The sequence below is a fragment of the Homo sapiens genome, chromosome 13 (genome assembly GCF_000001405.40).
Source record: "Homo sapiens chromosome 13, GRCh38.p14 Primary Assembly".
Taxonomy (NCBI): domain Eukaryota; kingdom Metazoa; phylum Chordata; class Mammalia; order Primates; family Hominidae; genus Homo; species Homo sapiens.
Window position 1 is genome coordinate 32033129 of NC_000013.11, and position 16875 is coordinate 32050003.

At 39.2% G+C, this 16875-nt stretch overlaps 1 protein-coding gene across 4 annotated transcripts in view, besides 2 other annotated features; it reads left to right on the forward strand.

The window, feature by feature from the left end:
* The window catches only part of FRY (FRY microtubule binding protein), a 267352-nt gene that overhangs the window by 1355 nt on the left and 249122 nt on the right, over positions 1–16875 (forward strand). The gene's annotated exons all lie outside the window — the stretch shown is intronic.
* Positions 13364–13658: an enhancer, noted in NCBI's record as "tiled region #10155; HepG2 Activating DNase matched - State 5:Enh, and K562 Activating non-DNase unmatched - State 24:Quies". NCBI's record gives its function as "activates a minimal TATA promoter and a strong SV40 promoter by Sharpr-MPRA in HepG2 and K562 cells {active_cell/tissue: HepG2 | K562}" and the evidence as "EXISTENCE:reporter gene assay evidence [ECO:0000049][PMID:27701403]".
* Positions 14783–14862: a silencer, noted in NCBI's record as "silent region_5245". NCBI's record gives its function as "represses an Ori minimal core promoter by ATAC-STARR-seq in GM12878 lymphoblastoid cells {active_cell/tissue: GM12878}" and the evidence as "EXISTENCE:reporter gene assay evidence [ECO:0000049][PMID:35858748]".

A 16875-nucleotide genomic window follows, 5' to 3' on the forward strand; every position in this document is an offset into this window, starting at 1 on the left:
GAAGCCATTTGGGAGTAATACTGTTGCCCAAACAGCATTCTTTACTTGTCATAGCTATAAATCATTTAACTTGGACTCATTATTTTTATAATACTTTACACTCAAGGATGAATCTTCCTTTGTCTATCTGCTCTTTGATTAATGAAAAGAATTTGACATACAGTGTTCTTTATGGAGCAGTTTTCCAATAACTGAAAAAACTCACTTTTGAGTTGACATCAGTACGTGGTTTTTAAACATATTTGATTATTCCAAGACCAGACTGTTTTCTTCCATCAATTTTTGTCATTGCATCATTAAATAGAAAATTATGTTGTGACAATACTGAGGCCAATGGGATTTCTTTTAAAAATTTCTCTCCCCTTGTCTATTTTCAAATCACTCTAGATAAAGTATATATTCTCTCCACCCTTCCTAAACTCCTCTCCCCACATACATACTTCAGGAAATGATTCAAAATGACTGTTCATTTCTACTTTGAGAATATCTGTGATACAATTTTGAATTCTTCCAATTCATTCAGCAAATATTTATTGAATACCTACTATGTGCCAGGCTGTGGGGCTACACAAGGTGAATAAGACACAGTCCCTGCCCACTATATTAATTTTTTTATTTCAGAGTAGTGAAGTTGGTGGCTTTCCAGCATTCTTTTGAGGGGGAGAATGTTTTTCAGTCCTTTCTTGAAAGAGGAAGAGGAAATATACTTTGTTTATCTTCTTTAAGCTTGTTACAACACTAACCTGCTTACAATCTAGCATAGTTCTCATTGCTAAGTTTTACATATTTTGAGCAGCAAAGAGAGAAAGGAATTTGTCTGTGTAGAAGGCAAAGTAGAAACAGAAGCCCTAAGGCTCAACATACTCAGTGTAACCTTGGCTGAGAGGATGCACCATGAGGCAAGCGGCTAATTGCACCTGCATGCACCTGCACGCGCATGCCTGGCCTCACAAGTTTGAGAGGTGAGGATGTCTGCCCACATACCTGAATGGAGACTCAGCCTCTTAATTATATGGTGGTGCTTATTTACAAAAGTGCAGTAATTAAAAAGCAATAAAACAAACTCTATAACTATGACTGGCTGTTTTGCAAGGTGTTAGAAGAAAGGTAATTCCATAAGCGTTTCCAGGTAAAGCTTTCCATATTTTTTTAAATGGCACATTGTGGGGAAAATGTAATTATATATATATTAGTCCCCTCCAAAGAATTCACAGGCCAATAAATAGATCAGTCGCTGGCTAGTGAGATGTACTAGCTTTCATTCGATGTTCATTTTGGTGTTCTCCTCTTTATCGGCACGTCTACTCTGTCATGCTGCCCTTTGATTTGAATGGAGGTGGGAATTAAAATGGCCTTGATGTCTGGAAATAAAATGTCCTATGTAGACCTGAATATGGAGGCTTTCCTGTCCCCTTGGATGTCTGTCCTGTTGCTCTTCCCTGCTCTTATCCAGCCTTTCCCCAGCTGTCTAGTGGTTCTCACGGCTGCGGCCCCTTGTTAATCATGGCCACAGCCTCCACATGCCCTTCTCAGTTTAACCTGGAATGCTCCAGTGGTGTCCTCACAGTCAAAGGCTGCTCCCCAGCTCCCTTTTGCCTCTGAGTGTCAGTGGTAGCCACTCAGGACCCTCTTTGAGCTCCTCGTTCATCCTCTCTCATGTTTTTCTGCTCCAGCCAACCAAGCTTAATCTACTCACTCTCCTCTGTATTTAACTAACATGCTCCCAAATTCATGCCTGTACACCCATCAGTCTCCTAATAAGGCCTCGCTTACCTAGAATGTAAAAATGGCAGGGCCAAATGGGCTTCAGATCTCTTGCTCCTGCACTTGCATGGCTTCGGACAGTTAAGTAATCACTCTCAGTTTCCTCATCTGTAAAATGTACGCAAAAATAATGGGTACCTCATAGGAGTAAATGAGGTATTAAGATGTAAAGCACTTAGCACAATACCTAGCACATTGTAAATGCCCAATAAGCATTAAAATAATATTCATGTATTCTAATGCCCTCCTCCCTTCTAAATCCACTTCAAATCGGATGTAGACCATGTCTTCCCTTAGCCTTGGCATCCAAAGTGGGTTATTTTATGAGTAATCAACACTTGCTACACTCTAGAGAAGAGAACTACATAAATAAATGTCAAAATTAGTTGGTTATTTTGGGCTGGTTTTTTTTCTCCCAGATTTACATTTTTAACTTTACCCCTTGACTACTTTAACTTTCTACCTCACTTACTATTAAAATATCCCACTTACCCTAAGTGCATACTTTCTAGCAGCTTGGGAGTTGGTCTGGGAATTTTCTTAGTGGCAGAAAGTCACTTTGGCCTCTTAGGTTTGCTAGAGAACAAGTTTAAAGTGGATAGTTCAAGCTATTTTCCAGGAGAGAAGGGCTTGCTGTATACCATTTCACAGAGCTGGTGTGTGAGCCCCCACACTAATCTGAAAGCTCTAAAGGGCGTCCTTGTGTCTCTGTCCACCCCAGGATGCCTGATGAACACACAGGGCCCAATGAATGAAGGTACATTCAGAATCTGTTCAACACCTTGCTCTTTCCAGGGCAGTGTGAATCCTTCCTATAACATATGGCAAATCTTGCTACACCATCGAGGGAAACTTTTGAATGCCCATTAACTCTTTCGCATATTTAGAATTTCATTGACAAATGAACTGCTCTGGGGAACTGAACAATCTCTTTGCAGTAGGAAGGTGTTGGTGTGCATTGTGAAATGTCTAATGTTGCTGTAGAAAAATCTTGCATCACTTAGGAGCATCAGATTCAGCATTTTTCAGGTATGTTGTAGTGAGTTAAGTTGTAGTGATAAGCCCAGGATCTGTTCAACCTAGAAATACTGGTTAGTATGAGGTCAGCTCTGGGGCCAAAGAGAAAAGTCATGTGCAAGTGAGGTTAGAAAACATCTCAGATTCTCTGCAGAGCAGTGTTTATTGATGCCTGTTTATGTTGCAAGTGTACCTGAAGGACACTATGAGAAAAGCTTAAGAAAATCTCAAAATTAATTTCAGTTTTAACCTCTGTATAGACTTGGTTGAAAGAAGTGGAAAACTAAGAAGGTTAACTGAGTTGCCTAAATCCAGCAAAGGGGTACAGATCAAGTGCAAGCATATTTAATTGGGTTCTTTAAATAGAGGAAGTACCCAGCACTGCTCCAGGCAATTAGAAGGAGACTTACTCCAGTGTCCCATCCACACCCTCTCTAAGGCCACGGGGTCACTTCTGCTAACGTAGTTTACAGCTCTAAGGAAAAATAAAACCCCAAATCAACATCCATGTTCTCAAAATAGAAAGGATCTATCCCTGGGCTTATGATTAAGACAAATCAGAGGGTTTTTTTTTTCCCATTCAAATGCATGAACAGTTCTTGAATAACAATAACTGCCACTCTGTATAAAATACTATGCTCCATGATTTATATAGAGGGCAACCACAAAATTGTTTTTCCCAACTGTGACACTTTGGAGAGTGAAAGTTAATAATTATGCTGAGACACTGGGTGCAAACCGGGACTGCCCTCAGCAAAGGACGCCATATGACCACTCTGTTTATTATCTTCACTCTTTCCAATAACCCTGTGAGTTTAAGTGTCATGCACATTTTCGATGAAAAAAAAAAAAAATCAGGACTTGAGATAGAGATTTGCTCAAAGCCAGGATGGTAGTAAGCTCCATAAACCCCTCCCCCAGTCCAGGTGATAATTGCATTGTTTGTTTTAATCACTCAAAGGACCAAAGGATAAAGAACACTGTGAGGAACTTAGTGCTTTATAGGTACTTTCATTTTTAGTTTTGTTGGCTGATGTCCCTGCCAGTTCTTAGCCTTCTTCACCCTCTCTCCTTCCCTCCCTGCTCTTTGTCTCTCTGTTTCTCTCTCTCTCTGTTTTACACACACACACACACACACACACACACACAAACACACACACACGTGCTGGAGAGCACCATCCCCTCAGCATAGGCCTATTTGAAAGACCTTAAGTGTTCACAAGTCTTTTCCGTCTATTGCAAACAATACATAGACAGTTCTGTGCCCTATGATCATTTGATTAAATGTATATAGACATTCACAAAATAGGATTATAGTAATAAGGCACATTTCTTCTGTTAGGAGTATTTTATGTGTATTTTCCCTAGTTTCAAAAGTAAATAAAAAAGCATGAATGATGTTTACTTTAGAATGGTAGTTTGCTTGCCTTGCTGAGCGTTCTCTGATATATTGTTTTTCTGTTTAGGAAACAGTAGCAAATTCACTAATTGTCTTTAGCAGTGAGATCAGGGAGAATATTTCCAGGGATAATGGAAATCTATCTATAATTCAGGTATCTCATTTACTTGATAGCTCTGGCCTGCTCCATCATAAAATCATGTACAGGACTGGCAGCACCAAGATAAATTTTGACTTACTTGCCTGCTCTTGAATGCTGCTTGATGAAGTCCCAACAAGAATTGAAAGAGAAAAGCAAACAGCAGTAGGCAAGAAGAGATGACCCGGATAATTTTACAATCTGAGAACAGCTGAGACATTTGAGAAAGTTGCCAATATTTAGAGGTTTCAACTGATATAACATGCAAAGATTCTCCTATCCTACCCTAAACAGACAGCTGTTTCAAAACATTTTAATACCCATGACTCAGTAGTTTACTTTTGGGTACAGTTTAAGGAGTCAAATAGGTTACATATATCCTAATCGTCTTATTAGTAACTTCCATATTTCTGAGTCTTATGTGATATTAACACTGAACTGGTGTCAGATGTGAGTTTGGGCTAATGAGAAATGACATTTTACTATGTTAGGGGCTGTTCTGTAGACTAATAGACAAAGATATAAGCTTTTTATGCAGGTTCTGTTACTGGTACTAAACCTTACATTTATTTAGTGCTTTGTAGTTTGCTCAGCACCTTCAAACACATTACCTCATTTGACGAGTGAGATGCACTGAGTATTAATTAGCTAGTTTCTTCTTAAATGCTCCTGGTTTAGAATAAGACTTAATTCTTCCTAAGTTCAGTTTGTGTGGCATGAGATACCCACATGGCATCATGTAGGTATATTTTGAGAAGTTTCAGATCAGATTTAAATGAACAAATAATAATCTTCGTCCATGGTATTTACCTTCATGTAGAACTTTTAAAAAATGCAATATAGCTTGGTATTTATCACTTAAGAAATACAGAGGTAAGTCTGTCCAAAAACATATGTATTACGATTTTCCGAATTTATTTGTACCCTAGAATTTCTCTTAGTCCTCTTTTTTAAACATTTAAACATTTATAATTTTTCTTAGTGCGGTGCCTTCTGGAAACCATCCACCATTTGCACACTACCCCAGTGCAGAAGATTTAGCAAGTAACCAGTTCCTGGAAACGCGAATGGCATTTGTGGAACAAGATAAGACACAACTTAACCTCATTTTCTTTCATACTAATGTCTTTCATTTGATAGATGCCATTCATCATATTCCTTTTAACATTGCTCCATCACTGAACTGCCAGCTATGTGAATAAGAGAATGCTTTCTCTTTCTTTGAGCTGAAAAGGTTGCATCTTCTAGGCTTGGAGAAACAATGGGAATGGGCTTTTCCATAAGACCATCTTTACTTACCTTTCAGTGCTGGATTATACTGCAAATCTTACTACCTAAGCATTAATTTTTCTTGGTTATTGCTCCAACATGCAACAGTGTCAGAGAAGCAAGGCAAGCACTATTTAATACCTGTTTACTGAGCATCAACTAAGCACAACACACACTTTGTTTTGGGAGCTTCATAAATGCATCCCACCTGGATCCTTCATCCAGGCTCTCAGAGCTTCCTTTCCTTCCTTGTTCGATTCAGAATTCAGTTACATTAATGCAGAAGTTTCCAGGACTTCAGGGATCCTAGGGAGAGGTATCCAATGATGTTTCAGAGACAGAGTAGGCCCTAGAAAATTTTATTGTGGGAGAATGTGTTTGATAGATTCTGTTGACTTTAACTTTATGGATTTGTACTTTCACTACATCAGAGAACCATCAGAAGTACAGGCAATGGTCTGTAAGAACAATTTCAAATATTTCTTCTAGCAGATGGCTGAAGGAGAAGAGGAAATGTAAGCTATTTACCCTGGAACACTTGACCAGATTTCAGAATATGGGGCAGCAAGCATTTCAGACAGGCATTCCTTACATTAGAAAAATGTGAAGAGGAGTTGCCATGTTTATCAGAATTTTGCAATGGGACAAATTTAAAGCCAGTTGTCTTTCATCCTGAGTGGTTCTCTCACTCTTCAAAATACTTGGGTGATTACAGAGAAGGGCTATGTCTGTCTGTCTCTCTCTCTCTTTCTTTCTCTCTCTGTCTCTCTCCCACCTCCCCCCCCATACGTGTGTGAGAGAGAAAATAAATTATATATTTCCGTAAGTTAAATTTAATGATCAGATATCTCACCTATATTCTTACACTTTTCTATTTTTCACAGAATATACAAGCACAGGCATTTAAATGTTAGTCACCCAAAACTCCAGATGCTAAGCAGTGAAAGTTTATATTCTGCCAGCATATCAGACTCTGTAATGAGTCTGATTTGGTTTAATTCCTTTCTACTGTTTAGTCATTTGATGAGCTGCAGATGGAAATTTAAGCCAAAGCCATAACATTTCAGCTAATACTTTTTATGCTGCTGTAAGAATTTGTTGTCATGTCAATTTAAGAGAGTTGAAATCTTTTTTGAGAAGGCATTCAAATCTGCATTAAGTGCTTTTATCAACTCTAATTTGATATACAACTCTGACTGCTTCTGCTGTTCTTAATCAATTGCAAAGTGCAAAGTAATTTAGCAGTGGAAGACAGCTTTGCAATTCCAGGATTTCTCAGCTAATGCCATAAGCACAACATTATGGAAATATACAATTAAATTTACATTAAAAATTTTTCCTATGCTTAAGAAACACGAGGCCAACTTCTTTGAGTTTAGCCTTAAATAGGTAAATATGTATTTTGGCAGCCATGAAAAGAATAGGGTATTAGATTAACTAGGGCAATACTTTGGTAAAATTCCATTGGAATGTTATGTTTATGCAGGAGAGATTTGGCCAATCAATAAGATGGTTTATTTTGTAAGTCAAATCAATAAAATGTTTGAACTGTATAAATACAAGATTGGGTTTTTCTTCTCTGTTTTTCTGTTATTTTTCTGTGTGTGACCTTGGCTTTCTCATTCTCTCATTTTCTTATACGAAAGGAACAAACCTGACACTTGTCTGTCACTGATTAATGTGAAGGGTTTTGAATACTTCCACTGAAAAATGAGGTTTCGGTAAACATCATGATATTCATCAGTTATTTCTCCTGCACCATTAAAGCCAGACTGAAGGAGACTGAGTTGTACATTATTGAACTTGACTGATAACTGGTGGCTGGATCTCAAGCCTAACTTTCTAAGGTTGGTCAGCTTCTTGGACTGGCTTGCTTTTCAGTATTCTGAATAAGAAGAAGTTGTCACACTACACAGCCTATCAGGTTCTTTCTGTTGTTACTTTTTGCAGTTAAATCACTGTATATCTAACTCAGTAAATCTGAACAGGATTGTCTCCAATATGAAGTGCCAGTATTCTTGGTCTGGACACAGGCATGTTTTTTTTTCTATAAAGTGAGATATGGTGTTTATGGAAATTGCTGGCATTCTGAAGGTTTTTAAATATATGATGATACAGCTAAAGGATACTCTCCTACATTTCAGTAGATATCATGTTTCAGTTAACCCATGATGAAATACGAAAGGTCATAAGAATGCAAGAGGCTGTTAGAAAATCTGTCTGAAACATCTTTGGTTCACCTTTACTTAATGCCTACAGCTTAGGTAGAAAGCTCTGTGACAGCATTAAAGAATTTTAAAACGAAAAAGTTGCTCTAGGTGAACAGATTGCCTATGAACATAGCAGACTGTAACCAGTGAGTTTACAACTCGTGTTTACAAGTAAGAGCACCAATTAAAAGACAAATTGAAGTTTTTCTTTTTAAAAAAGTCTGCTTTTCAACTTTTAGTTTATGAACACTACATGTTTAACAAATCTCCCCTAAAAATGAGGGCTTGCAATTGAATGACAACATGGACTTAGCTATAGTATCACTTGTTCTAACACCCCTAAAATTAATCTTCTGCTTTTTTTTTTTTTTTTTTTTTTTTTTTTGAGACAGAGTCTAGCTTTGTTGCCCAGGCTGAAGTGCAGTGGTGCAATCTGGGCTCACAGAAACCTCTGCGTCCTGGGTTCAAGCAATTCTTCTGCCTTAGCCTCCCGAGTAGCTGGGATTACAGGTGCCCGCCACCATGCCCTGCTAATTTTTGTATTTTTAGTGGAGACGGGGTTTCACCATGTTGGCCAGGCTGGTCTTAAACTTCTGACCTCAAGGGATTACAGGCATGAGCCACTGTGCCCAGCCAGTCATCTACTTTCTTAATGAGAAATTCAGCTTCCTTAGGGAGTTTTGAGGGTCACACACTGAGTGTTTTGTTTCACTTTCCTCATGATTTGGTGGTGGCCCTGAGGCCTGTTGTCAGCTTCTCTTCCAGGTTGAGGGTGCAAGACAACCTGTCTCGCTTCTGTTTTACTTGATTGAATACAGCTGCGAGAGAATAGGAAAATCAGAGATGTTTTTGTGTCTTGCCTGCTGATTTTATGTTTCATTTATAAGAAACCGCCAGTGCTTATCATTACAGGAAAGCTAATCCTAGTTCATGCCAATTGAGAGATCAATTTTTGAAGGTGTTTGAAAACCTGGCCCATTTTCATCTGGCAGAGTAAACTACTTTGTTCTCAACTAACAATTTAAAATGTTTGAACTTTAAGAAAGATCAAAATTATAAGTGAGAATGAAGATTCTAGCACATTTTAAATATCAAAAAATCCATTTTATCTTAGCTTCTTTTCCTTTATTTTGTTATCTGTTTTGTTAACCATGTCAATCCTTAGCACCACTTTCTAGAGGGGAAGAGGAGTGGACATTTAAATTATATTGTCTACCATTAGTCAACCACTTTATGAAAAGAAGAAAGGAAGAAGGGAGGAAGGGAGGGAAGGAGGGAAGAAAGGAAAAGAATCAGAGGGAGAAGAGAGAAAAAAATACAAACTGGAAATGATTACTGTAGGATTTTGAAATCAGTGACTTTCATTTCTAAATCCCTTGTTACTAATCAGAATTCAGTAACATGCTACTCACAGGTTCAGTGTTATGGTTATTACATAGAACATATTTTTTCCATTTAGTAATTTGAAATGGGTGCCATTTTAGTATACTTTTGCTATAAATGATAGAATAACCTCATAAGGGCTGAAAGAGTAAAGACTGTTAATTAGCTTGCCCAACCCACAGCCTGGAGATGGGACTGTTAATTAGCTTGCCCAACCCACAGCCTGGAGATGGGAGGTTCCAGGTGGGCTTAGAAGCTCAAAGACCTAGACCATCCAATCTCTGGACTGGTCACACTACATGATCACAGGATGGCCACCTCAGTTCCAAATATCTTTGCTTCACTTAAGTCAGGAAGGAAGGAGGCCCAGGTTAGGGCTTTCTTGTAACAAGAAGATTATTTTGATAAAGGTCTCAGCAAACTTCCTCTTGCTTCTCTCTGATAGGAACTGGGTCATATGCCTACCCTTAGACCAGTCACTGGCAAAGTTGAATGGAATAGCCAAATTGACTTAGATGAATCATGGTTCAGGCCCTGGCACTGGGCTGGGTACACCTTTTGTGAGACAAGGGACTTATACCTGCCACCTGAACAAAACAGAGATTCTTGTACCAAGGAAGAATGATAGGCAACTAATAGTGCCATTAAGTAAAAACTACAATGGTATGTATTAGTCTGTTTTCACACTGCTGATAAAGACAAACCCTAGACTGGGCAATTTACAAAAGAAAGAGGTTTATTGGACTTACGTTTCCATGTAGCTGGGGAGGCCTCACAATCATGGAGGAAGGTGAAAGGCACACCTCACATGGCAGCGGCAAGAGAGAGAATGAGAGCCAAGTGAAATGGGTTATCAAACCATCGGATCTTGTGAAATGTATTCACTACCACGAGAACAGTATGGGAGAAATTGCCCCCATGATTCACTTATCTCCCACCAGGTCCCTCCCACAACATGTGGGAATTATGGGAGTACAATTCAAGATGAGATTTGGGTGGGGACACAGCCAAACCATATCACGGTAGATGACTATTATTAGAAACTCAACATCTGTTGTTGTATAGCATTGCATTAAGGGCAATAATAATAGCTGATCTTTATAAGCACTTATGAAGTGTCAAGAGCCGCATGAAGTGCTGTATATGTATCATTTCCTCTGGTCTTTACCATGACACTGTTTTACACATGTGGAAAGATGAAGGAACCATTTGTAAGTGATGGAGCTAGGATTCCAACCTAGACTCTAGGATAAACACTATATTATGTGGCCTCTCATCGTCATTGGCAAGATAAAGATATTGGCTACCAGCAGGTGAAATTGATGAACCTCTAGTGGGAGTAGAGTTATATTGATATGTACTTCCTAGCAAGTTACCACAGAGATATTTGTCAAAAAGCAGCGGCAAAGTCTTGAAAGTAGCCCCCACCAAAAAATTCTGTATTGCTTTGCCTTCAGTTTCAAAAAAGGAACACTTCCTCATGTTTTCTTCATTATACTCACTCAAAAAGAAATGGAGTCTTTCTATTGCTTTAAAAAAGAAAGCAAATTATAAGAAATAATATTTTTAGATCAATCACTTGAGCCCCTTAAGATTATACCCAGGCCAGGCACAGTGGCTCACACCTGTAATCCTAGTTCTTCAGGAGCCTGAAATGGGAGAAGTGCTTGAGGCCAGGAGTTTGAGACCAGCCTGGTCAACACAGTGAAACCCCATCTCTTTTGTTTTTAAATAAATTTTAATTTTAAAATAAGACCAAAAAAAGAAAAAAAAGGAATATGTAGGTCTATTGAATTATGCTGTTAGGTTAAAATTAACAAGTTCAATATTTATTTGTTTAATGCTATCCAACAATAGTAGATGAAATGCCCTTAATATTTCCCTTAGATACCAAAAGAAAAAAATGTTTTTCTGTTTTCAGATATTTCCATTTCATGTGGAAATAACAGTATTTTCCAGTAAGGTTTATATTTTAATCTTATTGTTCAGATTTAGCTATTAATTTGAAAGGGCTTTATCACTGACTCACTTTCCCTATTTACAGCCTCCCTAAGCTAGGTATCGCAATGGTTAAATAAGAATAGCTAGCATTCATGAAGGACTGCCATGTTTCAGCCACAGTGCTAAGCACTCTCTCATTTAAACTTCCTTACATCCTATTGAGGCAAATACCATTTTGTAGAATAAAAACCAAATGCTAATAAAGAAATAAGAGACATTCACAATCAGTAAGTGATGGTGCCCAGATTCCAATCTGCTTCTGTCTCTAGAGCCTCTCTTCTTGTTGGCAGCCCAGTTAGAGCCACTCCCGCCCCACTTTTCCTCTGCTCATTTCCCACCAAAACATCTGAAAGAGCCAGATGCTTGCTTGCTTGGCCTTCAGTGCAAGCTTCTGACTGCTATCCCAGTTGCTGGGGGAACTTCTGGAAAGGATTTTCTTCCTGGAAATAAGAGAAATGCATCTTTTGCCACCCTGATAGACTTGCTGCTTCCAGCCTTTGGACATAGTTTGTGTAGGTGGCTGAAAAACAAAATCAGAACAATCATCTGAGATGATTTTAAGCTGAACTTGAGCCAAGTTCCTGCCCTTAAAAGAAGAGTGTCAAGTGAAAAAGATCTATATAAATCAATAATTGCAGTAAAATATGACCAGTAATCAATCCCATGCAATGTTAATTGTGTATATGTGGGTAAGAGTGACTGTTATTTGTACATTATTATACCCGCTGGCCCCTAAGGCCAATTTTCACTATTTTTTCCCCATATTGCTGATATATATCTCCAAAATAGGATATTTTCTTATCAACTTGCTGAACCTGTGACTTCATCTCTCTCCTCCAGGACCCCTATAGGGCTTAGTTCTTCATCAGTAATGCTGAATTTCGCTATTAGTCAGTCCTAGGCAAGAAACTAGACTTTTTTTCAACCCTTCATTGTTGTTCATCCAAATTGCTGCTAAAACTTGTCTTGTTTTCTTCCTCGAATGACATCTCCCACATCTGGATCTTCGTCACCATCACCTCTGCCAAGGCCTGGTTCCAGGTCTGCATCACCTCCCATCTGGAGCACTCACAATTCCTTCTCACTGGCTATCTGCTGCTACTGCCTTTCCAGGACAGTCTTTCCTAGAAGTCCTTCCCATAGCTTTGAACGTTGATCTCCACCTTTTTACTCTTGTAATTGTGCATCAGCCTCCATAGACAGGGATTGCATGACAAATGCTTTTGGTGTCAATGGTTGCAAGCACACTGAATAATTAAAATTTCATCGTGAACTGGGAGTGATCATCTAAATTAATTTCATTGGCGATGTATATGCAAGCCATTTGTTTTGGTAGATTCAAGAGTTCTGTGGGATGCAGAAATGGACTGAATCTTTGACCTGTAGCCTATAATCTAAATACCAGTGATATCATTGGAGTATTAGTCACAGTCATTGGCCAGAGATGAGGTAGGAGTATTACTGTGGTACTACAAACACAATTTAAGTTAAAAGGAATAACATCTGCTACTCTATATTTTTATGCTGGCGAGATTCAAACAGGCTAGATTTGACAAGGCATAATGTAGAAATTGAGGAAAGGCTTGCTGAAAGTTAAGACCAAAAGCTAAGTATAATGCTCTGGTTAATATATTAAATGAGCTCAGGCAGAGGATACAACTACTTATGAAGTGTACACACTCCAGTGATGGAAGACCCACTCAACAATTCTCAAGTGTCCCTCGTACACAAAACAACAGCCATCAAACTGGCCCAATGAGCTCTTTAAATATCATATTGTTCTGCCAAACAAGGCCCTTGTTTTAGGGAGTGACTAAGAGACTGTCACTTCTTGGGCCAGGAGAATGAAAATGCTCTTCAGGCTCTGGGAAAAGGATAGAGATAAATTGTGGATACTGTTCCTAGGACATCCCTCTCCATTTCAGTCTATGTCTGACTGGCCTGTGTTTTATACTGCAAGATGACAACTCAGCTGATTTATTCAGCTCTGTGTTTTCCTGAAGTTCTTGCTATTGACCCACGCAAGAGACAGAAGGTTAGAATCTATCTTCTTTGTGGACAGTGCTAAGTTAATGCCAAAAGATCTACCCTAGCCTGATGCTGCTGGGGCTGGCAAAGTTATGTGAGCTCAGAAGTTGAGACCAAGCCTCCATCTCCTCTACTTTAAGTGGAAAGTTAACACAGTCTGGAAGAGTCAGCCAGGAGTATCAGCCCGTTTGTGTTAACTTGCTTTTATTTTTTCTTGCTGAAAACAGAAGTGAATTACACTCTTCACTGAATCCTGCTGCAGAGGAAAATGATGCAACACTGGTCACATGACACAAAGATAAAAGGCCCTTTATGCAAACCTAGTTCTTTATTGTGTTTCCATGTAAGGAGAGGTTCAATACCCACACTACAAAGCAACACAGAATTGTTGCTCTTAATCTTGGATCTTTCTCTACACGGAGAAGCCATGATGTTTTACTTTGTTTTTGTCTCTTTTTAAATTTTTCTGCCTTTTTGACCACGAGATTCATTAATTTTTATGTAATACAAAATATAGAAAGAAATTATGTAGGCTCATTTGATTTACTTTTGACTAAACAAGAGTTTTTTCTGTGCAATTTGGGACTGTTACGATCATGTGCTTTGTCTCAGCCATATACTTGCTATGTGACCTTGAGCAAGTTACTTAAATTCTGATTCCTAAAAAAGAGACTCTACCTGATGTGTATGAGCTGTATATGGGTATATATGTATATATAGAGAGAGAGAGAGCTACATAATCATGTATATCTCTTTAAATAAATATGTTTATCTATATATACCTACTCCTAGAGCCATAACAATTAAAGGAGTTGACATTTATGAAGTGTTTAGCATATTCACTATTGTACTTGCTCAAATAAATGGTAGCCATTGTTATTAGTAATTTGCCTAATTAATGCTTGTCTAAATCCCTCTGTAAGTTAATGGTTTTGTCATGTTGGCTCATTGCCAAGACAGTATGACCAGGAACCAAAGAGTCTTGGAGCTTTTTTGTGACATCTTCTTGACTTGAGGATCTGAACTTTACCACTCCCTAGAGAGGATATTTTGGTAGCAAAGTACATTTCTGGAACTTCAGAAAATTAACCATCTAAAGATATCCAAGATAGAATGTGTTCCTTCTAAATTCAGAGCTATGTATGATGGCTGAAAATATAACAAGGCATTAGCGTATGCTACAGTTGCAGCGTTTTCTTTTTCCTTTTTGTTTTTCTTTTTTTCTTTTCTTTTCTTTTTTTTTGGGGGGGGTGCAGAGTTTCACTCTTGTTGCCCAGGCTGGAGTGCAACAGCATGATCTCGCCTCACTGCAACCTCCACCTCCTGGGTTCAAGTGATTCTCCTGCCTCAGCCTCCCAAGTAGCTGGGATTATAGGCACGCACCACCACTCCTGGCTAGTTTTTTTGTATTTTTAGTAGAAACAGGATTTCACCATGTTAGCCAGGCTGGTCTCGAGCTCCTGACCTCAGGTGATCTGCCTGCTTCGGCCTCCGAAAGTACTGGGATTACAGGTGTGAGGCACCACACCCGGCCCAGTTACAGCATTTTCTGTGAGCATTTATGTGAATTAAACCTGAAGCGTGAGCTTTTTGGATTTGGACCAAACTCTTATCCTGTGTGTATGAGTTTCACTCTAACTGACCCACTTCCACTTCCCCTTCCCCTACCCTTTCTACATACTTCCATTGTAGCAACAGTGGCATTCTGTAACTGCTTTACCTGTCTGGGTCCCTCTGTGGCTAAGAATCAACCGTCTTTTCATTTTTCTACCCTCTAGCACATCTTAGGGCACATTGGCTCTGTGAATAATCTGTTAAATATTGAATGAGTGAATAAAATCTCTTGAGTGGGTGTGGGAGGTCTGTGCCTAAACTTTGCTAGCATGTCGCCCCTCAGTGGATGAGCACCCAGCAAGCAGTAACAGTGTTTTGTCTTTTGGGATCTTTCTATCTTTTATTCCAAGCAGGAACTCAGCATCTAATCTTAGCTCTGAAGTCTCTTTCCTCTGTAACCCTCACCTGTTGTTTTGTTTGAGTGAGTTCAACAAGCTAAATTGTACCATTGTGTTCACAGAACTCTGGGCAGATATGTCCATGAAAAGAAAAGTGTAGAGTGAAATGATGTTTTATTTGTATAATGATCAGCCAACTTGAGGAAACATTTCAGAGAGAAATTGTTTGTTTATTTTTAAATCATTCAGCACTGTCAAGGATTGCTATCTGTAAAAATACTAACTTTTTCCTACATTTACCTAAATGTCATTAATGTTACAAGGATTTAACTTACTTTTATACCTTCTAGGCACTTTTGCCAAATTGGAAGGAAACCATGCTCAATGAAGTCTGCTGAGCTAATTTAATTCTTTACTCACAAGGTCTTTTTCCACGTGGGGAATGCTGCTGTTTTATATTTATTTGGAGACACTGATGGCCTTACTAGAAAAAAAAAATCTGAATATAAAGATTTTATCTTCTTGATTAAGGTGCATGTACTCAAATAGCTGCCCCAATTGGACATGCCTGAATAAGCTTCAGGAAGTGCCTGAGAGTCAATAAACAGTCCTCCCTTTCCCTTCTTACCAATTATTAAATGCTTACATGTGTAGGGTACTGTGGTACATAGAGTACACAGTGATTCAGCAGGCCCAGCTCCTGCCTTCTCTGGGCTTCACAATCAAAGACAGCCTACTTTGATGAAAGGGAAGGTGTAAGGAAGTTGCAAGAGAACAGAAATAGGTGCTCTGCCCATGCCAGGCATTGTGCTGGGACCTGGGGACACTGACCTAAATAATCATTTAGAGAAGGAAGTGATTCATCATTTTAAGAGGGAGGGAAGAGGCTGAGGGATAGTTCCATGGAGACTGTGACATTTGAACATGAAGACTGTTACAGAGAAGAGGGGGAAAGGCAGAGGGAAGAACCTGAGCAATTGCAGGGAGTTGGGGAGGTGCCTGAGGGAATGACAACTGGATCCCAAGTTCCCTGAAGGAGTGACAGATTGTGTATACAAAGGCAAGTTGGGTCAGATGACAGGGAGCATGGAAGGATCTGCCGAAAGGTCTGGTCTTATTCTGAAAACAGTGGGCAACCCCATAGGTTTTTTTGTTTGTTTGTTTTTTGGGACGGAGTCTTGCTCTGTCGGCTGGAGTGCAGTGGCACGATCTCAGCTCACTGCAAGCTCCGCCTCCCGGGTTCACGCCATTCTCCTGCCTCAGCCTCCCAAGTAGCTGGGACTACAGGCGCTCGCCACCACACCCAACCCCATAGGTTTTTAAGCAGGGAACAGCATGATCACATCCCAGCAAATTCAGGGACTCTGCACTGAGAATGGAGGTAGGGACAATCACTGCGAGAATGACCCAGGAAAGAGACAACAAGGACTCAAAATAAAGTAGTAGCAGAGGAGTTAGATAGAAGGGAACAGATTCAAGCCAGTTGTCTGGGGTAGAATTGTCAGAGTTTGGTATCTTCCCTGGGTCCAGCCTGTGTTTCATTTTAATGTATGATAAAAAACATGCATGATTATGTAGCTCAAGCAAGCTGCTTTAAAAAAAATAGGCAGAAGCAATTATTTGATGAACAGTGTTTTAAAATTATACTCAGCTAGACAATATGCTCTTTAAATAGAATATTTGCGTTGAGGTTAAAAGGTGATGGCGGGGTTC